General features: G+C 37.8%; 1 protein-coding gene across 12 annotated transcripts in view; it reads left to right on the plus strand.

Moving 5' to 3' along the window:
- The window catches only part of ZDHHC13 (zDHHC palmitoyltransferase 13), a 59312-nt gene that overhangs the window by 8542 nt on the left and 26047 nt on the right, over window positions 1-24723 (plus strand). For 3 of the 12 annotated variants that reach the window (XM_011520195.2, NM_019028.3, XM_047427141.1), the window contains exons 2-5: window positions 17333-17478; window positions 20536-20658; window positions 21951-22028; window positions 23542-23686. In XM_011520195.2, the coding sequence (XP_011518497.1) occupies window positions 23558-23686 (129 nt within the window). In that variant the 5' untranslated portion in view covers window positions 17333-17478; window positions 20536-20658; window positions 21951-22028; window positions 23542-23557. Of the gene's footprint in view, window positions 1-17116; window positions 17228-17332; window positions 17479-20535; window positions 20659-21950; window positions 22029-23541; window positions 23687-24723 lie in introns of those variants that run through there. The other 9 variants (XM_005252996.3, XM_047427142.1, XM_047427139.1 and 6 more) reach the window with 5 other exon arrangements.

The raw sequence follows: 24723 nt of genomic DNA on the forward strand, positions 1-24723 counted from the left end.
TTTTAGCAGCTCTGTTTATGATTGCCAAAAGCTGGAAAACAACCCACGCAGACTGTTTGGATAGATTATCTGTGACGCACCCATATAGTGGGATACTACACAGCAGTAAAAAAGAAGGAATTATTGATAACATACAACAACTTGGTTAAATCTCAGCACCATTGTGCTGAGTGGAGGAAGCCCCTCCTAAAAGATTGTGTACTGTATGATTCCATTATATGACATTCTGGGAAAGACAGAATTAATGACAACAGATCAGTGGTTGCCAAGAGTTGGTTGGGGTTACGGGAGGGTATGACTGCAAAGGATGATGGTGGCGGTTACGTGACTCCATACATACATGTGTTAAAATTCATACAGCTGTATACCAAAGTTAATTTTACTGTAAATTAACTTTTTAAAAACAGTGCCCCTTCAAAATAATCCCTTGAGGGATTATGGACTCATTTAAGTAAAACTGAAAATTTTAAAACTTTCTTTTAAAAACTTTTGTTTTAGGTTTGGGGATACATGTGCAGGTTTGTTATATACACAAACTTATGTCATGGGGGTTTGTTGTATAGATTATTTCCTTACCCAAGTATTAAGCCTAGTACCCAGTAGTGATTTTTTCTGCTCCTCTCTCTCCTCCCACCCTCCACCCTCAAGTATACCCCAGTGTCTGTTGTTCCCTTCTTCTTTTTTTCTTTTCTTTTTCTTTTTTTTTTTTGCAGTGGAGTCTTGCTCTGTCACCCAAGCTGGAGTGCAGTGGTGTGATCTCGGCTCACTGCAACCTCTGCCTCCCAGGTTCAAGTGATTCTCCTGCCTCAGCTTCCCAAGTAACTGGAACTATAGGCACATACCACCACCCTGGCTAATTTTTTTTTTTTTTTTTTTTTTTTTTTAGTAGAGACGGAGTTTCACCATGTTGACCAGGCTGTTCTTGAACTCCTTACCTCAAGTGATGCACCCACCTTGGCCTCCCAAAGTGCTGAGATTACAGGCATGAGCCACCATGCCCAGCCTGCTGTTCCTTTCTTTGTGTTCATGAGTTCTCATCATTTAGCTCCCACTTATAAGTGAGAACATGCAGTATTTGGTTTTCTGTTCCTGCATAGGGGTAATAGCCTCCAGCTCCATTCGTATTCCTGCAAAAGACATGATCTCATTCTTTTTTATGGCTGCATAGTATTCCATGGTTTATATGTACTACATTTTCTTTACCCAGTTTGTCATTGATGGGCATTTACATTGATTCCATGTCTTTGCTATTGTGAATAGTGCTACAGTCAACATTCACATACATGTGTCTTTATAGTAGAATGATTTATAGTCCTTTGGGTATATACCCAGTAATGGGATTGCTGGGTTGAATGGTAGTTCTGCTTTTAGCTCGTTGAGGAATCGCCATACTGCTTTCCACAATGAACTAATTTTCACTCCCATCAACAGTGTATAAGCATTCCTTTGTCTCTGTAACCTTGCCAGCATCTCTTATTTTTTGACGTTTGAATAATAGCATTCTGACTAGTGTGAAGTGGTATCTCATTGTGGTTTTGAGTAGCATTTCTCTAATGATCAGTGATGTTGAGCTTTTTTTCATATGCTTGCTGGCTGCATTTATGTCTTCTATTGAAAAGTGTCTGTTCATGTTCTTTACCTACATTTTAATGGGGTTTGTTTTTGTCCTGTAAATTTAAGTTCCTTATAGATGCTGGATATTAGAACTTTGTCAGATGCATAGTTTGCAAATATTGTCTCCCATTTTGTAGGATGTCTGTTTACTCTGTTGATAGTTTATTTTACTGTGCAGAAGCTCTTTAGTTTAATTAGATCCCACTTATCAATTTTTGCTTTTGTTGCCATTGCTTTTGGCATCTTTGTTATGAAATCTTTGCCCATTCCTATATCCAGGATGGTATGTCCTAGGTTTTTTTCTAGGGTTTTTATAGTTTTGGATTTTACATTTAAATCTTTGATCTATCTTGAGTTGATTTTTTATATGGTGTAAGGAAAGGGTCCAGCTTCGATTTTTCTGCATATGACTAGCCAGTAATCCCAGCACCATTTATTGAATAAGGAGGCTTTTCCCCATTGCTTGTTTTTATCAGCTTTGTTGAAGATCTGATAGTCATAGGCGTGCAGCCTTGTTTCTGGGCTTCCTATTCTATTCCATTCATCTATGTGTCTGTTTTTGTACTGACATCATGCTGTTTTGGTTATTGTAGTGCTATAGTATCGTTTGAAGTCAGGTAGTGTAATTCCTCCAGCTTTGTTCTTTTTGCTTAGGATTGCCTTGGCTATTCAGGCTCTTTTTTGGTTCCATATGAATTTTAAAATAGTTTTTTCCTAGTTCTGTGAAGAATGTCTTTGGTAATTTGATAGGGATAACATTAAATCTGTAAATTGCTTTGGGTAGTATGGCCATTTTCATGATATTGATTCTTCCTATCCGGGAGCATGGGATGTCTTTTCATTTGTTTGTGTCTTCTCTGATTTCTTTGAGCAGTATTTTGTAATTCTCATTGTAGAGGTCTTTCACCTCCCTGATTAGCTGTATTCCTAGGTGTTTTATTCTTTTTGTGGCAGTTGTGAATGGGGTTGCCTTCCTGATTTGGCTCTTGGCTTGATAGTTGTTGTATTGGAATGCTAACGATTTTTGTATGTTGATTTTGTATCCTGAAACTTTGCTGAAGTTGTTTATCTGCTGAAGGAGCTCTTGGGCCAATACTATAGGGTTTTCTAGATATAGAATCATGTTATCTGCAAACAGCGATAGTTTGACTTCCTCTCTTCCTATTTGGATGCCCTTTATTTCTTTCTCTTGCCTGATTGTTCTGGACAGTACTGCCAATACTGTGTTGAATAGAAGTGCTGAGAGCAGGCATCCTTGTCTTGTAAAAACTTTCTTTAAAATTAAAAATTTCTAAAAAATATTTAAAAACTGTCTTTTAAAAATGAAATTTAAGAAACTTTCATTCTTAAAACTTTTTGGAACTCTTGGAGAATTGACTTTGGCACATTATTTCAAATGTCTTCAATTTTTTATTCTCAATTGTGTATTCATCCTTAGAGAATGATTTTCTTTTTAAACTGAAAAGTTCATGGAAATAGGTTTGGTGATAAGGTAGGTGAAAGCTAGGTAACTTTATTGATGGTAAAAAGCAAGATGAGATTAAAAAATAATGTCAGTTTTCATTTATAGCAATTTTCTAGGGACAGTTATATATCCCACAATGTTTCGATCAACGCCAGACCACACATATGATGTTGATCAGAGCAGTAGTTTATATCATCTAGCCTAAGTGTGTAATATGCTATACTGCCCAGGTCTGTGTAAATACACATTGTGATGTTTGCACAAGAATGAAATAGCCTAATGATATGTTTCTCAGAATATATCCTCATTGTTAATGAAAGCATGGCTATATTTGATGTAACCCTCCCACTGAACACACCAAAAAATGCAGGGTACAGTATAAAAGCATTTGAAGTATTTTACCTTTTTGATGCTAGTGTAAACATTTTTTTAAAGATTCCTTAGGATTTTCTATGCATATGATCATGTTTTTGCAAGTAAAAATGGATTTACTTCTTTTCTAATCTGTATGCATTTTTATTCTTTTTCCTATTTTATTATGCTGTCTGGTACTTTAGTACAGTGTTAATTAGAAGTGGTGATAATGAGCATATTTGCTTTGTTTCCAGTCTTGGAGTAAAAATGGTCTTGTACCATTCAGTGTGATGGTAGCTGTAGATTTCTTGTAAATGTTCTTTATTCGATTGAGGAGGTTCCCTTCTTTTCCCTTGTGTTGAAAGATTTTACAAATTTTGTCATATGCTTTACATAAAGAATTTTCATATAAAGAATTTTGTTAAATGCTTTATTCTACTGTGATGAATATATATTTTTTACTGTTTTATATTTGAATATATATTTTATTCTGTTAATATGAATATTCACCTTATTTATTAATATGGTGGGTTACATTGATTTATTTTGAAATGTTTAAGCTGGGTTTGATGTATAGTCTTTTTTATATATTACTGGATTCACCTTACTAATATTTTGTTTAGGATTTTTGTATCTGTGTTCATGAGGGATACTGGGCCTATAGTTTTCTTTACTTGTAATGTCTTTGTTGGTTTTGGTATGTAGTGATTCTGCCTCATAAAATGAGCTGGGGGCCGGGTGCGGTCGCTCACACCTGTAATCCCAGCACTTTGGGAGGCCGAGGCGGGTGGATCATGAGGTCAGGAGATCGAGACCATCCTGGCTAACACGGTGAAACCCTGTCTCTACTAAAAATACAAAAAGCCGGATGTGGTGGCACGCATCTGTAGTCCCAGCTGCTCGGGAGGCTGAGGCAGGAGAAGGGTGTGAACCCAGGAGGCAGAGCTTGCAGTGAGCCGAGATCACGCCACTGCACTCCAGCCTGGGCAACAGAGTGAGACTCCGTCTTAAAAAAAAAAGAGCTGGGAAGCATTCTCTCTTCTGTTTTCTGAAGGAGTTAGTATCATTTCTTCCTTAGATATTTGATAGGGTTAACTAATTAAGTTATAGGGGTCTGAAATTTTTTATGAGAAAGATTTTCATTATGAATCAAATTTATTTAATAGATATTATGTTATTTATTACTTTTAAGATCCATTTTGATAATGTGTGTCTTTTAAGGTGTTTGTATATTTCACTTAAGTTGCTAATTTATTGACATAAAGTTGTTCAAAATATTCCCTTTTTATCCTTTCAAAATTTGTAGGCTTTTGGAGTGATGTCTCTTTTTTAAACCTGATATTCGTCATTGATACTTTTTCATTTTTCTTGATCAAACTGATCAAAGGTTTATCACTTTTATTGACTTATTCTTTCTAGAGAGCCAGATTTCGGCTTCAATGATTTTCTGTATTGTTTCTCTGTTTTATAGTTAACGAATTCCTTCTATTTTTATATTCTTCTTCTTGTATCCACTTCGAGTTTAATTTTCTTTCTCTAGGTTATTAACGTGAAAGCTTAGATAACTTACTGTAGGCCCCCTTTTTTTGGTAATATAAGCATTTAAAGCTACAAATTCCCTGTAAACACTGCTTAGGCTGCATACTAAGCTCTTTAAAACTGTTGTGCTGTTGCTTTCTGGCTTGCCTTATGTCTGATGAGAAGTCTGAGTGTATTCTTATCTTTGCTGCTTTGAACATATGTGTCTGATTTTTCCAGACTGGTTTTTTTTGTTTTTTTTTTTTTGAAAGGGAATTTCGCTCTGTCGCCCAGGCTGGAGTACAGTGGCGCGATATCGGCTCACTGCAACCTCCGCCTCCTGGGCCCAAGTGATTCTTCTGCCTCAGCCTCCCTAGTAGCTGGGACCACAGGTGCGTGCCACCATGCCCGGCTAATTTTTGTTTGTTTGTTTGTTTGTTTAGATGGAGTCTCGCTTTCTCACCCAGGCTGGAGTGCAGTGGCGCGATCTCGGCTCACTGCAAGCTCCGCCTCCCGGCTTCACGCCATTCTCCTGCCTCAGCCTCCCGAATAGCTGGGACTGCAGGCACCCGCCACCATGCCCGGCTAATTTTTTGTATTTTCAGTAGAGACGGGGTTTCACCATATTGGCCAGGCTGGTCTCGAACTCCTGTCCTCGTGAACTGCCCGCCTTGGCCTCCCAAAGCGTCCAGACTGATTTTAAGATCTCTTTATTACTGATTTTTAGTGATTTGATTATGATATGTCTTGGTGTAGGATTTCGGGGCTTATCCTACTTGGGATCCATTAAACTTGTAGTTACTGTGAGTTTATAATTTTCGCCAACTTTGGAAGATTTTTGGTATAATTTCTTCAAATATTAAAAAAAACTTTTTTCCTTGTCTTCTGGAACTGCAATTATACATCTTCAGTCGTCTTCTCTCTGTGCTGCATTTTGGATACTTTTCCTTGTTGTTTCTTCAATTTAAATGGTCTCTTCTTCTATACTGTTTAATCTGCTGTTAATCTAATCTGGTGTAATTTGTATTTTAGAGATTGATTTTTTTTTTTTCTCTTTTGAGACAGAGTCTCACTCTGGTGCCCAGGCTGGTGTGCAGTGGTGTGATCTTGGCTCACTGCAACTGCCTCCCAGGTTCAAGTGATTCTCCTGCCTCAGTCTCTCGAGCAGCTGAGATTACAGGCATGGGCCACCATGCCCAGCTAATTTTTGTATTTTTAGTAGAGACGGGGTTTCACCACATTGGTCAGGGTGGTCTTGAACTCCTGACCTCAGGTGATCTGCCTGCCTCGGCCTCCCAAAGTGCTGGGATTACAAGGAGATTGACTTTTATCCGCAGATACTCTAACCTGATCTTTTGTCATATCTTCAATTTCTTTGCTCATTTTGTTAATGTTTTCCTTTAAATACTTATACATACTTATATTAGCTGTTTTAATGTCTTTTTCAGCTAATTTTGTCATCTTTATAGTTTCAAGATCTGGTTCTTTTCTTCTGGCTATGGATCGCATTTTTCTTGCTTCTTGGCATGTTTAGTGAGTTTTGATTTGATAGTGGACTTTGTGAATGCACGTTGATGAGTATCTGGTATTTGTTGCCTGTCTTTAAAGACTATTGGATATTGTTTGGCAGGCGGTAAAGTTAATGTTGCTCAATTTGAGTCCTTTGAAGTCTGATTTTAGGCTTCTCTAGAGTGGTTCTGGTGTAGTCTTTATTCCAGATATAGTTCATCCCTACTTCTAAGGTGTGGCCCTCTGATATCTCCACTGAATAACCCAAGGGATCATCAAAGAGTCTCCGCTTTGGCTGATCAGAGTTTGAACATCTTCCTGCTACGTATAAACTCCAGTAATTGTTCAGTTTACAAATCTCCATTTTTTGCCTATCCTTGTCAAGTTTCCCTGTATACATTACTTGTCCTAGTACTCTGCAAAGACTCAGTGGGCCTCCTGTACAGATTTTTTGGAGCCCCCTTTTTTCTGGTTGGCTCACTTCTCTCTTGAAATGTGCCCACAACTGCCAGCTATCTCAGCCTCTCTGATCTCAAATTTCTGTCTCCTCAATTTAGCAAGGCTGCTGGGCTCTAAAACAAAGTGTTTTCCTCTCAGTGCCCATGATTGCAAAATTGCTGGGGTGATGGTGGGGCTCACCTTGTGTATTTGTTTTGTTTTGTTTTTTTCTCATATCTTGGCAATCACAGTCTTACTGTTCTCATTGTCCAAAGTCTGAGTACAGGTTACTTCATATATTTTGTTCACTTTTCTAGGTTTCTTTATTATAGCAAGAAAGCAAGAGGTTAAGTGCAATCCTACTTATCCCATCATGCACAGAAGTAGAAGGCTCTACTTCATTTTTAACTTAACATATAGCCAACAAGGAGTAACCAGAATTTATAAGGGCTACCATTCAAGAAGAAAAAGAGAGAAACCCAGTAAAAACACAAAAATGGACAAATTGCTTAAACATGTACTTTATAAAAGAAGAACTCAAAATGGCCAGTAAACATGAAGAAATACACAACTTGATAATTATAGGGAAATACAAATTATTATCACTACAAGATATGTTTACACATTCATCAGATTGGCAAAAGTTATGGAGTCTGATGATACCAAGTATTAGTAAGGATTAGAGCAACAGAAGCACTCATACCCTTCAGGGGAAAGTTTAACTGGTACAACCATTTTGAAGATGAGTTAAGCATATCTTCAAAGCCAACAGTTCCACTTCCAGATATATGCTTTTGAGAATTGTTTACATATATATATATATATACCCACACACATATATATACACACACACACACACACACATATATATATATATACCTAGAGACATGTACAAGAATACTCATAGCAATATGTTTTTTTATAATAGCCCCAAACTGGGAACAGTCCAAATATCCAGCCATAGTAAAATAGATAAATTAATTGTAGTATGTTACTGTATTGGAATGTTATACAGCAATGAAAATGAACCTGTTGTAGCTTTCATAACAACATGGATGAAGCTTGTAAGTCTAATGTTAAGCAAAACAAATGATAGAGAATACGTATGATAGATTCCATTTGTACAAAAATTAAAAAATGTAAAGCTGAACTGTACTTTTTAGGGTTGCATACATTAGAGATAAAACTATAAAGAAAAGCAAAAAGTAATTATAACTGAAGTCAGGAAACTGTTCTTTTAGTGTGGGGATGTGGTGGAGCATAGCATGTGTCCGGGCAGTCTTCTAAGGTGCTGGCTCAGTTCTATATCTTGACTTAGGTAGTGGTTTCATGGAGGTTCATTTTATATTTATTCTTTACTCTTTACGAAAGAAGTCCATATATATATATATATATATATACACGTATGTGTTTTATATACTTCAGTCTTTATAATAAATCATAATATTTTCAGATATTCAGAGGTTAAAAATATGAGTCTCTTTTATATGGCTCTGAGGACAGTTTCAGAAAGGAAATTCTGAAAACATTTCAAGGCAATGCTATTGGAATAACTAATAATCTCCTGAGGAGACTATTTTGAAGATATAATTTCTGATACATTTATTTAAAAATCAGCTTTTTAAAAATTGTAGATAGGTAACTAAATTTGCTTATTAAGCACTAATTCAGGTCAGGTGTGGTGGCTTACACCTGTAATCCCAGTACTTTGGGAAACAGAGGCAAGAGGATCGCTTGAGGCCAGGAGTTCAAGACCAGTCTGGGCAACATAGTAAGACTCTGTCTCTACAAAACTAAAAACTAAAAAATTAGCTGGGTATACCAAAGGATTATAAAACATTCTGCTATAAATATACATGTACACGTATGTTTATTGCAGCACCATTCACAATAGCAAAGACTTGGAACCAACTCAAATGCCCATCAATGACAGACTGGATAAAGAAAATGTGGCACATATTCACCATGGAATGCTATGCAGCCATAAAAAAGAATGAGTTCATTTCTTTTGTAGGGACATGGATGAAGCTGGAAACCATCATTCTCAGCAAAGTAACACAGGAACAGAAAACCAAACACTGCATGTTCTCACTCATAAGTGGGAGTTGAACAGTGAGAATATATGGACACAGGGAGGGGAACATTACACACTGCGGTCTGTCAGGGGGTGGGGGGCAAGGGGAGGGATAGCATTAGGAGGAATACGTAATGTAGATGACAGGTTGATGGGTGCAGCAAACCACCATGGCACATGTATACCTATGTAACAAACCTGCACGTTCTGCACATATATCCCAGAACTTAAAGCATAATAAAAAAAAATTAAAAAGAAAAAAATATTATCTGGGTATGGTGGCATGCGCCGGTAGTCTCAGCTACTTAGGAGGCTGAGGCAGGAGGATTGCCTGAGCCCTGGAATTCGAGGCTGCAGTGAGCTATGATCACACTGCTGCACTCCAGCGTGGGCAACAGAGGAAGACCCCCTCCCAATAAATAAATACATCTTTTAAAAAAAGTGGTAGGAGCCAAGATGGCCGAATAGGAACAGCTCTGGTCTACAGCTCCCAGCGCGAGCGACGCAGAAGACGGGTGATTTCTGCATCTCCATCTGAGGTACCGGGTTCATCTCACTAGGGAGTGCCAGACAGTGGGCACAGGTCAGTGGGTGCACGCACGGTGTGCGAGCCGAAGCAGGGCGAGGCGTTGCCTCACTTGGGAAGCACAAGGGGTCAGGGAGTTCCCTTTCCTAGTCAAAGAAAGGGATGACAGATGGCACCTGGAAAATCGGGTCACTCCCACCCGAATACTGCGCTTTTCCGACGGGCTTAAAAAACGGCGCACCAGGAGATTATATCCCGCACCTGGCTCGGAGGGGCCTACGCCCATGGAGTCTCGCTGGATTGCTAGCACAGCAGTCTGAGATCAAACTGCAAGGCGGCAGCGAGGCTGGGGAGGGGCGCCCGCCATTGCCCAGGCTTGCTGAGGTAAACAAAGCAGCCGGGAAGCTCGAACTGGGTGGAGCCCACCACAGCTCAAGGAGGCCTGCCTGCCTCTGTAGGCTCCACCTCTGGGGGCAGGGCACAGACAAACAAAAAGACAGCAGTAACCTCTGCAGAGTTAAATGTCCCTGTCTGACAGCTTTGAAGAGAGCAGTGGTTCTCCCAGCATGCAGCTGGAGATCTGAGAACGGGCAGACTGCCTCCTCAAGTGGGTCCCTGACCTCTGACCCTTGAGCAGCCTAACTGGGAGGCACCCCCCAGCAGGGGTAGACTGACACCTCACATGGCCGGGTACTCCAACAGACCTGCAGCTGAGGGTCCTGTCTGTTAGAAGGAAAACTAACAAACAGAAAGGACATCCACACCAAAAACCCATCTGTACATCACCATCATCAAAGACCAAAAGTAGATAAAACCACAAAGATGGGGAAAAAACAGAGCAGAAAAACTGGAAACTCTGAAAAGCAGAGCGCCTCTCCTCCTCCAAAGGAACGCAGTTCCTCACCAGCAACGGAACAAAGCTGGACAGAGAATGACTTTGACGAGCTGAGAGAAGAAGGCTTCAGACGATCAAATTACTCTGAGCTACGGGAGGAAATTCAAACCAAAGGCAAAGAAGTTGAAAACTTTGAAAAAAGTTTAGAAGAATGTATGACTAGAATAACCAATACAGAGGAGTGCTTAAAGGAGCTGATGGAGCTGAAAACCAAGGCTCGAGAACTACATGAAGAATGCAGAAGCCTCAGGAGCCGATGCGATCAACTGGAAGAAAGGGTATCAGTGATGGAAGATGAAGTGAATGAAATGAAGCGAGAAGGGAAGTTTAGAGAAAAAAGAATAAAAAGAAACGAGCAAAGCCTCCAAGAAATATGGGACTATGTGAAAAGACCAAATCTACGTCTGATTGGTGTACCTGAAAGTGACGGGGAGAATGGAACCAAGTTGGAAAACACTCTGCAGGCTATTATCCAGGAGAACTTCCCCAATGTAGCAAGGCCAACATTCAGATTCAGGAAATACAGAGAATGCCACAAAGATACTCCTCGAGAAGAGCAACTCCAAGACACATAATTGTCAGATTCACCAAAGTTGAAATGAAGGAAAAAATGTTAAGGGCAGCCAGAGAGAAAGGTCGGGTTACCCACAAAGGGAAGCCCATCAGACTAACAGCAGATCTCTCGGCAGAAACTCTACAAGCCAGAAGATAGTGGGGGCCAATATTCAACATTCTTAAAGAAAAGAATTTTCAACCCAGAATTTCATATCCAGCCAAACTAAGCTTCATAAGTGAAGGAGAAATAAAATACTTTACAGACAAGCAAATGCTGAGAGATTTTGTCACCACCAGGCCTGCCCTAAAAGAGCTCCTGAAAGCGCTAAACATGGAAAGGAACAACAGATACCAGCCGCTGCAAAATCATGCCAAAATGTAAAGACCATCGAGACTAGGAAGAAACTGCATGAACTAACGAGCAAAATAACCAGCTAACATCATAATGACAGGATCAAATTCACACATAACAGTATTAACTTTAAATGTAAATGGACTAAATGCTCCAATTAAAAGGCACAGACTGGCAAATTGGATAAAGAGTCCAGACCCATCAGTGTGCTGTATTCAGGAAACCCATCTCATGTGCAGAGACACACATAGGCTCAAAATAAAAGGATGGAGGAAGATCTACCAAGCAAATGGAAAACAAAAAAAGGCAGGGGTTGCAATCCTAGTCTCTGATAAAACAGACTTTGAACCAACAAAGATCAAAAGAGACAAAGAAGGCCATTACATAATGGTAAAGGGATCAATTCAACAAGAAGAGCTAACTGTCCTAAACATATATGCACCCAATACAGGAGCACCCAGATTCATAAAGCAAGTCCTGAGCGACCTACAAAGAGACTTAGACTCCCACACATTAATAATGGGAGACTTTAACACCCCACTGTCAACATTAGACAGATCAACGAGACAGAAAGTCAACAAGGATACCCAGGAATTGAACTCAGCTCTGCACCAAGCGGACCTAATAGACATCTACAGAACTCTCCACCCCAAATCAACAGAATATACATTTATTTCAGCACCACACCACACCTATTCCAAAATTGACCACATACTTGGAAGTAAAGCTCTCCTCAGCAAAAGAACAGAAATTATAACAAAGTATCTCTCAGACCACAGTGCAATCAAACTAGAACTCAGGATTAAGAATCTCACTCAAAACCGCTCAACTACATGGAAACTGAACAACCTGCTCCTGAATGACTATTGGGTACATAACAAAATGAAGGCAGAAATAAAGATGTTCTTTGAAACCAACGAGAACAAAGACACAACATACCAGAATCTCTGGGACGCATTCAAAGCAGTGTGTAGAGGGAAATTTATAGCACTAAATGCCCACAAGAGAAAGCAGGAAAGATCCAAAATTGACACCCTAACATCACAATTAAAAGAACTAGAAAAGCAAGAGCAAACACATTCAAAAGCTAGCAGAAGGCAAGAAATAACTAAAATCAGAGCAGAACTGAAGGAAATAGAGACACAAAAAAACCCTTCAAAAAATTAATGAATACAGGAGCTGGTTTTTTGAAAGGATCAACAAAATTGATAGACTGCTAGCAAGACTAATAAAGAAAAAAAGAGAGAAGAATCAAATAGATGCAATAAAAAATGATAAAGGGGATATCACCACCAATCCCACAGAAATACAAACTACCATCAGAGAATACTACAAACACCTCTACGCAAATAAACTAGAAAATCTAGAAGAAAGGGATAAATTCCTCAACACATACACTCTCCCAAGACTAAACCAGGAAGAAGTTGAATCTCTGAATAGACCAATAACAGGAGCTGAAATTGTGGCAATAATCAATAGCTTACCAACCAAAAAGAGTCCAGGACCAGATGGATTCACAGCCGAATTCTACCAGAGGTACAAGGAGGAACTGGTACCATTCCTTCTGAAACTATTCCAGTCAATAGAAAAAGAGGGAATCCTCCCTAACTCATTTTGTGAGGCCAGCATCATCCTGATACCAAAGCCGGGCAGAGACACAACCAAAAAAGAGAATTTTAGACCAATATCCTTGATGAACATTGATGCAAAAATCCTCAATAAAATACTGGCAAACCGAATCCAGCAGCACATCAAAAAGCTTATCCACCATGATCAAGTGGGCTTCATACCTGGGATGCAAGGCTGGTTCAATATACGCAAATCAATAAATGTAATCCAGCATATAAACAGAACCAAAGACAAAAACCACATGATTATCTCAATAGATGCAGAAAAGGCCTTTGAGAAAATTCAACAACCCTTCATGCTAAAAACTCTCAATAAATTAGGTATTGATGGGACGTATCTCAAAATAATAAGAGCTATCTATGACAAACCCACAGCCAATATCATACTGAATGGGCAAAAACTGGAAGCATTCCCTTTGAAAACTGGCACAAGACATGGATGCCCTCTCTCACCACTCCTATTCAACATAGTGTTGGAAGTTCTGGCCAGGGCAATTAGGTAGGAGAAGGAAATAAAGGGTATTCAATTAGGAAAAAAGGAAGTCAAATTGTCCCTGTTTGCAGACGACATGATTGTATATCTAGAAAACCCCATTGTCTCAGCCCAAAATCTCCTTAAGCTGATAAGCAACTTCAGCAAAGTCTCAGGATACAAAATCAACGTACAAAAATCACAAGGATTCTTATACACCAACAACAGACAAACAGAGAGCCAAATTATGAGTGAACTCCCATTCACAATTGCTTCAAAGAGAAGAAAATACCTAGCAATCCAACTTACAAGGGATGTGAAGGACCTCTTCAAGGAGAACTACAAACCACTGCTCAATGAAATAAAAGAGGATACAAACAAATGGAAGAACATTCCATGCTCATGGGTAGGAAGAATCAATATTGTGAAAATGGCCCTAATGCCCAAGGTAATTTACAGATTCAATGCCATCCCCATCAAGCTACCAATGACTTTCTTCACAGAATTGGAAAAAACTACTTTAAAGTTCATATGGAACCAAAAAAGAGCCCGCATCGCCAAGTCAATCCTAAGCCAAAAGAACAAAGCTGGAGGCATCACACTGCCTGACTTCAAACAATACTACAAGGCTACAGTAACCAAAACAGCATGGTACTGGTACCAAAACAGAGATATAGATCAATGGAACAGAACAGAGCCCTCAGAAATAACGCCGCATATCTACAACTATCTGATCTTTGACAAACCTGAGAAAAACAAGCAATGGGGAAAGGATTCCCTATTTAATAAATGGTGCTGGGAAAACTGGCTAGCCATATGTAGAAAGCTGAAACTGGATCCCTTCCTTACACCTTATACAAAAATCAATTCAAGATGGATTAAAGACTTAAACGTTAGACCTAAAACCATAAAAACCCTAGAAGAAAACCTAGGCATTACCATTCAGGACATAGGCATGGGAAAGGACTTCATGTCTAAAACACCAAAAGCAATGGCAACAAAAGCCAAAATTGACAAATGGGATCTAATTAAACTAAAGAGCTTCTGCACAGCAAAAGAAACTACCATCAGAGTGAACAGGCAACCTACAACATGGGAGAAAATTTTCGCAACCTACTCATCTGACAAAGGGCTAATATCCAGAATCTACAATGAACTCCAACAAATTTACAAGAAAAAAACAAACAACCCCATCAAAAAGTGGGCAAAGGACATGAACAGACACTTCTCAAAAGAAGACATTTATGCAGTCAAAAGACATATGAAAAAATGCTCACCATCACTGGCCATCAGAGAAATGCAAATCAAAACCACAATGAGATACCATCTCACACCAGTTAGAATGGCAATCCTTAAAAAGTCAGGAAACAACAGGTGCTGGAGAGGATGTGGAGAAATAGGAACACTTTTCAACTTTTGGTGGGACTGTAAACTAGTTCAACCATTGTGGAAGTCAGTGTGGCGATTCCTCAGGGATCTAGAACTAGAAATACCATTTGACCCAGCCATCCCATTACTGGGTATATGCCCAAAGGACTATAAATCATGCTGCTATAAAGACACATGCACACGTATGTTTATTGCGGCATTATTCACAATAGTGAAGACTTGGAACCAACCCAAATGTCCAACAATGATAGACTGGATTAAGAAAATGTGGCACATATACACCATGGAATACTATGCAGCCATAAAAAATGATGAGTTCACGTCCTTTGTGGGGACATGGATGAAATCGGAAATCATCATTCTCAGTAAACTATTGCAAGAACAAAAAACCAAACACTGCATATTCTCACTCATAGGTGGGAATTGAACAATGAGAACACATGGACACAGGAAGGGGAACATCATACTCTGGGGACTGTTGTGGGGTGGGGGGAGGGGGGAGGGATAGCATTGGGAGATATACCTAATGTAGATGATGAGTTAGTGGGTGCAGCGCACCGGCATGGCACATGTATACATATGTAACTAACCTGCACATTGTGCACATGTACCCTAAAACTTTAAAGTAGTATAATAATAAAAAAAAAAAAGAAAAAAAAGTACTGATTCAGGGAGGTTTCTCTTTAAGGTATCATTTCTTTAGAGAATGCAATATACTATGTTTTATTAAAGTTGATTACTTTAACAGGAATCTATTTCTACTTGGAAATCTGAATAGCCTATGAGATTAGAGGATTGGTTATTATGTAAATGAGTAGTCAAAGATATCACTGTGATTAGGGTCACACTGTAGAGTCTTTTTAAAATGTATTTAGAATATATGTAAATAATATGTACATTTGGTGTATTTGTGCTTTTAGGAAACAGAAACTTTGATCATCCCACATCTTTAGCTGAAGGAGTCCTTCTCTCAAGTAAAACTAAGTCTTTGTTTAGGGGTATTAAAGTGATTTAGTGAGCATCATTTGTGCTAAAGATTTTAACTCCCTCTGCCTGCCTGCTTGTCCACCAAATATTTTAGCAAAGTTGTCAACAAGTGTCAAAATTGCTCATCTTAATTGATCATCTACCCATCTGCCCTAGAAGTGATAATGAACCCAAAAGGCTGTAGTAATGGAAAGGAGAAATAAAATGTATTCATAATCCACAGAACGGATAATTGATCTTAGATTTTTGTGGGCTTTTTTTTTTTTTTTAACATTAGCGAACCCCGTATTGGTTTTCTGCTAAGGTCTAAGCTCAGTGTTTGAGATTAGAAACACTCAAATTAGTTTGAATGACAAATCTAAGATAATTGTTTAAAGAAAAATTTTTTAGCTTGCCATGTGCTGCTGCTTCTAATAGGTGATCCGAATGTAACATTTGTTGATTCAGCTAGTGGGACTATCTTGGCAGTCATTCTTTTTACCCTCCCAAATTATGCAGTCACTTCTGTATTAGTTACCCATTACTGTATAACAAATTACCACGCATTTAGTGGGTTAAAACAACACCTACTTATTAGCACTATGCTTTAACCAACTGAGCTAGCACGCCACCCGTAACACCTATTTATTATGTCATAGTTTCTGTTTGTCAGGAGTCTAGGCATGGCTTAGCTGGATCCTCTGCTAAGGGTCTCTCACAGTTGACATCAAGGCTGAGCTTGGGGTCCTCTTTCTAGTTCATTTGGTTATTAGCAGAATTCAGTTTCTTGCTGTTGTATGATCAAAGTCTCATTTTCTTACTGGTTGTCAGCAAGGACTGTTTTCACTCCTGAAGACTGCCCACAGTTCCTTGTTATGTGGCTCTCTCACAGGCCCTCGCATATCATGGCAGCTTACTTTTTCAAGGCCAGCAGAAGAATCTCTTGCTTCAGTTGGCTAAGACAGAGTCTGATATAACATGACCATGGGAGTAATTGTCTCATCACCTTTGCCATATTCCATTGCCTAGAAACAAGTCACAAGTTCTGCCTGTGCTCAAGAGGAAGGAATTATATGAGAACTTGATTAATTGGGGGGTTCGAGGATATTCTTAGGGTATGTCCACCACAACTCCAAAAAGTAGAGGCCTGGCAAACTTCTTACCAAGTCAGTAGCAATGGTCCTCTGCCCACTACAAGTAACAAGGTCCATTTGTGCCTTTTCAGATGACCTTTGTTTTATGAACAAAATATGTAATTTGGATTTTTTGTAATAGTAAGCATCTTTTCTACTGAACAGAATTAAGATAAAGAAAATCTTCCTTAGGATACACTTTTTTTTTCTTTTTTTTTTGAGACAGAGTCTCACTCTGTCACCCAGGCTGGAATGCAATGGTGTGATCTCAGCTTACTACAACCTCCGCCTCCTGGGTTCAAGTCATTCTCAGGATACACTTCTAAAACTCCAAAAAATGTAATTTATTAATATAGATATTGTTGATAGTAGCAAATGCTTCATTATGTAATTGAGTGTGACATTAATTCTCTCATGCTTTGTCAAATGACTCTTACTCTTCAGTGCAGGAATCACAGCCATGGCCCCCACCCTCCAGGATTTGGTCGATATGGCATCTGTGCACATGAAAACAAAGAACTTGCCAATGCAAGAGAAGCTCTTCCTCTTATAGAGGACTCTAGTAACTGTGACATTGTCAAAGCTACTCAGTAAGTCTTCCAAATGCTTTGGTTTATCCTTATGTTCTCTAGAATTAATAGTAATATATGTGTAGTTCATGGAGCTTCATATGTTTACCTCTCTTAACTTCATAATAGTAGTTAACACCAGCACCAGTATATTTGTCATACCAACACCACAGTACTTAGTACAGTGTACCTGAGCTGTTTATGTACCAGGACGTCCCATTAGATTGTAGGCAGGTTCTTAGCAAAAGCATGTCTTCATCTTTGTAGCTCCAGTGCTTTTGCACAGTTCCTTCTTGTGTAAGGTACCCAATAAATGTTCCTTGAATGAATGGATGATTTTAAATGACACTAAGCCAAACTCTTTATTTGAAACACAAATCTAAGTCTTTTAAAATATACTACAACCTGAATAGGTAGATGGAATGAAAAATACTGACTTACACATTTATAGATATTTTTAAAAATCATTTATTTCTTGAGTACTTTCCATGTGCTTGTTGTGCTGGACTAACTAGAAGAAATACGGTAAGGTAAGGTGGAAATATGTTCTCTGACCACTTGAAACACATAGTGTGTTGTTTTGCTTGCACTGGATATGGAAGTACATTTTGAAAGTTTCCCCTTAAGATCTCCATATGTGGGTATTTGCATTAAGTCAATTATTTCCAACATTTTCACCTTCATGGATCTTGTTGATTATTAACATCTATCACACCTCTTGACATTGAGCAAATTTTGAAGTATTTTGTACATCAGACTACATCAAGTATTAATCCATTTTTGTAGTAATCAAACATAAATCTGCCCAGCAGATTGCCCATCAAATAAAAATCATGCCAATCTAATCAGCCTGAGGGGAACTAATGTTACCATACTAACTTGATATAATTTCTATCAGAAGCAAAGATGTTTGGAGATTAATTAGCCTGTTTGGCCTTGATATGGACTAATGTATTGTCTATGTTAATTAAAAAATATATTGACAATTATTTGAGTATTCTAATTACCAATTTATATTAACTCTAGAGGCCTTGGGAACCACTCTTTTAGTTGAATATTATTTGATATTGTTTATATTTTATTTGTACAAAGATGAGCATATTCTTAAGGTAAATATTTGCTTTAATTAGGATGCAAACATTTAAATCTTTCCCTGTTGCCCATAAAACTCTTAAGATAAATGTCAGAAATTAGGCTCTTTTTAGAGGGAATCTCAGTAAAAACTCGCATTTTATGTCTTTCCTAAAATTTTCTTCAGGTCCTGGACCTTCTCAAGTGGTTGTCGGGGGACCTGTAGGTAGTATCTGGGAAGGGCATAGAGAGCTATGGAGTGTGTGTGTGTGTGTGTGTGTGTGTGTGTGTGTTTTCTAAACCAGCAAAACCTGAATGTATATTCTTATTATGTTTCTAAAATAAAGGGAGTATTTATTTTCCAGTAAAATGTTAAAGTTGACATTTAAAAGATGGAGAGTGTAAATGTATGTGTGTCATTTTCAAAAATTTACTCTTTTAAAAATGCCAAAAAGACACACACACGCACACACACACGCGTGTATTTTGGTAAGGCAGAAATTATTCTAATTTACAGTGTGAGAAACAGACAATTCTGCCATTTGGTTTGATTTTTGATCCTTGCGGGCTTATTGGAACTTTCAGGTAGTTTTAAGTAGAAATAAGTTTTAAAGAAAGTGCTAAAGGGTCAGTTGGGACTTCATAGAAATATTGCTAATAGGCCGGGTGTGGTGGCTCACGCCTGTAAGCCCAGCACTTTGGCAGGCCGAGGTGGGCAGATTACCTGAGGTCAGGACTTCGAGACCAGCCTGGCTAACGTGGTGAAACCTATTAAAAATACAAAAATTAGCCTGGTGTCGTGGCACACGCCTGTAATCCCAGCTACCTGGGAGGCTGAGGCAGGAGAATCGCTTCAACCTGGGAGACAGAGGTTGAAGTGAGCTGAGATTGCGCCACTGCACTCCAGCCTGGGCGACAAAGCAAGACTCCATCTCAAAAAAAAAAAAATATTGCTAATAAATGATTTGCCTCTTTATTCTCTATGAAATATGTCTTTTTAATGCTATAATTTCTCTATGAAATACCTCTTTTTAATGCTATACTATTTAACTGATTAACTAGTAGTTAAATCTCTCTCAAGCCCATCATTCCTTTTCTGTTCCTATTGCTTCACTCTTACTTTAGGCTCTCATTGTCTCTCACCTGTATTTATTGCAATAATCTCTAAATTCGTATTTCACTCTCTGTCCTCACCCTGCTCTAAGCAGCTTCCATACTGCCTCCAATGCGATCTTTCTTAAAACTCAAAGTCTGAGTGCTTTCCTCTTTAAAACCCTTTATTGGTTTCCCATTGAACTGTACATAAAGCTAAACTTCATAGCATAGCACAGAAGGCCCATGTGATCTTTGCCTATTGCGTCTGACCTCATGTCTCACCATTCCCTCTCATGCTTTATGCTTTAGCAATGTTAAATTGCTTTTATTTCTCTGAACATCCATGTAGTTTCACATTGCTGATTTTTGTACATGCTGCTTCCTCTGCCTGAAATGCCTTTTGTCAACCTATAAAATATAGCTTAGTTTCATCTCCTTCAGGAAGGGCTAATCATTTGTTCCTCTGCTATACCTATATTCTTTCCATATTTCGTTGTGGAATTTATCCCATTCTAAGTTTGCTTTTAGTCTTTATCCCTTATTGTGAGATTATTGCATGGGCTTGGTTTGATTCAGGGGTAAGATTATTGTCAGGAATTGGCACCAGGTGTTTCTGGCACATAGTGGAGATCAGATGAAACTTATTGAAGGAAGGCAATGTAAGTTTAAAGTTTACTTAAGAAAGTCAAGTTCAACTCCAAAGAGATTAATCTGATCAGTACATAAACCAGGTTTCCTTTTGCTGTTTGGCTTTATACTGTGTCCTCTCTATGCATGTCTTTGTTAATTATTATATTTCTGTATTGACTGAAAGGCAGTTTGGATAGTGAAAAGATATAGTAAAGTGAAGAAATTTTGATATTTGAAATGATTTTAATTGTATCAATTATGCTTTTTTTTTTCTTCTTTGAGATACGGAATTTTTGAACGATGTAAAGAGTTGGTAGAAGCAGGATATGATGTCAGGCAACCAGATAAAGAAAATGTGTCGCTTCTTCATTGGGCTGCTATTAACAACAGACTGGATCTTGTAAAGTAAGATGGGATATGTGTGTTAATTGTGTATTTATAATTTTAGACCTCTCCTTCATTTATCTTTTTCTTTAAGTATGGGTATTGAACCATGTGTAATCCTCGTGTAAAAGAACACCCGAAACTTTTTCTGCCACACACGTTGGTTATTATAAAGTTGAAAGGGACCTTAGAGACCATGCCTGGTTGATCCAAAAGGGAAAATTAGAGATAAAGCCAAGGGGGCCAATCATAAAGTTTAGAAAGTAAAAGTGAACATTTTTTAAAAAAGGAAAAGTATAATAAACTTTTTCAGAAGAGAATGGGAAGTCTCATCTAGTTTAGAAGAAGCATTGAAATATTTTACATTTTAATACCACGAAGAATAGATAGGTAGGAGATTTAACCTTTTAAAAAAACTAAATATGGAATATACTTTTAAGTGGGCATGTATTGGATTGTATAAAATATTTCCCCTTCATAAAGCACTACTGCCTACCCATTGTTTCTTTTAAACAGCTTAACATGTAAAATGTACATGTGTATGTGAATGTGTATATATTTTGTGTTATAGGATTAGATATTTAAAATCCTCAAAGTTTAAGAAATTTATTAAGGTTTAAAATGTTCTAACACACATGAATACTCACAGGCAAACTCCTCTTCTGTGGAAATAAACTGGCATGGTATTTAGATAATATGATGTATGAAGCTCAACTTTGAAGTAATGAGACTAATTCCTATAAACCATAGAAGAAAATCAGTCTTATTACCTTATATGTCCACCTTATACAGTGCCTCTCATCTCCGTACCCTAAATACAGGGCAAAACACTCAAAATGTCTAACTTTTCCAAAAGGATTTTAAATTAATTCTTTACTACTTACTTTTAAAATTCATTCCCACATAGTAATTCTACTTTTAAACTGTTGAAGGTGACATAACTTTACCTTTCTCCTTCCAGTCAAGTAAGAATATCTGTCTGATCCTAAACCTTTTGAATATAAACAATTTCAAGAGTGCTGCGGTAGTTAGACTATGCAGAGAGTAGTTATGATGTATTTGATATGTAAGTTATAATGGAATGCTAATTACAGCAGGACTAATTACTTACATCCTAAGGATGTTTCATCAGGGATTTGTCTGATTCTGCCATGTGAACCTTTCATATTTCTATAGATCTGGGTGTTTTAGGGATTATTACTATCATAATTTGTTCTCCAACATATTTATTACTATGAAAAAATTAGTATTTTCTTTCTCAATATGAAGCTTAAGTTTCAAATCTTACTTTCATTTGTGTCTGCTTTTAACAGGTTTTATATTTCAAAAGGTGCTGTTGTAGATCAGTTGGGTGGAGATTTAAATTCAACTCCTCTTCACTGGGCCATCCGGTAAGGTTTCTTTGAACACTGAAATTAAATAGCCACATATAGCTAGTGGTCACCATATAAAAAATCAGTTATAGACGATTTGAAAGGCTGTCTTTTCTTCCCCCCCCCCCTTTATTTAAAAATAAATTTCAGCTTTAAAGAGTTTGCAGAAAGGATGTTTTCGATATTTAATTTAGGGCTTCATTATGATTATCCAACTCAAATATGTGTTTTATAGTTTCTTTTTTGTAATTAGAATAAATAATTTTCATACTTGGTAACATAAATAAAAATAGTAGTTCAGTGAAGTGCAAACTCATTCAGTTCAGGCTTATGACAGATGTCTATTTAGAAATTTACGATTTTATTTCAGAGGTGAGTTTCCTCTTAAATGTGAAGTATATCTCTATATCTTAGGGCCAATTGAGTCAACTCTTTTAAAAGTTGTTGCAGGATTAACAAGAAATTTTGAGTATATCAACTTAGAACATTTATATTGTGTGGTCACTCTCCTTTTTTCTCTGTTGTATATTGGCCATCTGAAACTGAAGTTAGTAAGTCTTGAATACTTATCAGTTTCTTTTATTAATTTAAACTCCACTCTCGGTGGTTGGTGGGGTTGACAGGAATCTGAAACTGAAGTGAATAATTGTTCATGTAAGTCAAGGAGTTGAATCTTTTCTCCATAGCTAAGAGTTTTGAAACTCTAGGGTTACTTCATGCCCTTTAAGCTACTGAGGTACAGTACTTTACATGAAAAATGAACCATAGTCAAGCATAAGAAAAGCATATGAATATATAGCTCTTAATATTATCACAGTAAACCCATAGTTTATGAATATTATATTTCTGTATATCTGGCTTATGATTTTTTGATTTTAAAATGACAGTGACATCTAAGTGGTCTTAGAATCTTCATTGTTACCATGTCATAAAGAATTATTATTCACGTATGGTAATGTGTGAAGGTCAGGTTTAGGGTAGATTGGGAAGTTATCAAGTTTATCACTTGCACTCAAGAATGATTATCCAGGCCGGGTGCAGTGGCTCATGCCTGTAATCCCAGCACTTTGGGAGGCCCAGGCAGGCAGATCATGAGGTCAGGAGATCGAGACCATCCTGGCTAACACAATGAAACCCCATCTCTACTAAAAATACAAAAAATTAGGTGGGCATGGTGGCATGCGCCTGTAGTCCCCGCTGAGGCAGGAGAACCGCTTGAACCTGGGAGGCAGATGTTGCAGTGAGCTGAGATCGTGCCACTGCACTCCAGCCTGGGTCACAGAGCGAGACTCCATCTCAAAAACAAAAAACAAAAAACAAAAAAAAACGAGAATGATTATCCATATAGTTCTAAGTTTGCAGCATCTAAGTTAAAAACGTTTGGACAATCACCATTGTTTCAAAAATCTTACTGTTAGGAAATATTTTTTATATGTAACCAAAATCCCTCATGTCTTAGGAATATCAGTCTCTCCCTGACTTTTTGCTTTTTCTGCATGCTACAGAATGGCTTTTTGTCTTCTATTTGCAGACAAGGACATTTACCTATGGTCATATTATTACTCCAGCATGGTGCAGACCCCACTCTTATTGATGGAGAGGGATTCAGCAGCATCCACCTGGCAGTATTGTTTCAACACATGCCTATTATAGCATATCTCATCTCAAAGGGACAGGTATGTTCTGAAATGTGTCTTATACTCCAGTTTTTATCATCTGAAGAGGTTGGGGAAATTATTAGTAGTAGTCTCTTCTCATTTTTAAAGTGGAGGTTAATGGATATCCAGATATTCAGATATTAGCCTCAGTACGTTTAGCCATTGAATACTGCTTTTCAGCTTCATTGGAGGGAAAAGGACAGGTCATTTAGCTCAGTAACGTATAATAGATGTTTCTGAAACTTGTAAGCTGGTAATAGTTTTTCTTATGAACCCAGTAATTTGCAGAGTTTCTCAAAAACATGACTTCAAAGCCTGTATTTTTCTTCTAGTTGAATATAAAAATGGTAGTCAAATCACTAAATTAACCCATCATTTGCTTTCATTATTTGAGCCCAAATGGGAGGCCAATTTGAATATATGTTTCTTATTGTTCTCTAAAGTAATTCCATGAAAATTGACTTGCCTTGAGAGGCACAGGTTAAATTATAGGTTATTGTAAGTTTCACTGTCAATTATACTTGCCTGGAATATGTTTTCTGGTAGCAAAGTAGTTTATGTATTAGCAGACTTGCCTGTAAAAGGCATGAAAACGTGTTTGCACAAATGCTGTTGGAATGATTGTGCTCCCTTTAAATAAGCACTTTCTCTCAGACTTAGCTGATTGAAGTAGAATTATAACCTCCTAGGTTTCATTGTTGGAAAAATATAAATATATGAGGAAGAGTCCTGTCTGCTTCTCTTTGGGTGCCTTCCCAAGTCCTGTTCCTCCAAGGCCCATAAGAATCTTCAGAAGCTGAAACTGTTTTTCTTTGGCTTAGCTGAAACCATTGCTGTATACCTTAAACCTAGACCTGTCTTATTAAAAGGACTGTATCCTCATGGAAATATGATTTCCTTTTTTTTTCTGTGTTCCAGAAAATAGAAAGGAAATTTTCATATTTTACTATTTAAAACTTAATATGATAAGTCCAGAAAGACAAGTTGCCTCAGAAGATAGGGAGTTCACTATTTACTGGAAGTGTTTGAGTAGGTACTGAATGACTTTGTATAAG

Source organism: Homo sapiens, chromosome 11, assembly GCF_000001405.40.
Source record: "Homo sapiens chromosome 11, GRCh38.p14 Primary Assembly".
NCBI lineage: Eukaryota > Metazoa > Chordata > Mammalia > Primates > Hominidae > Homo > Homo sapiens.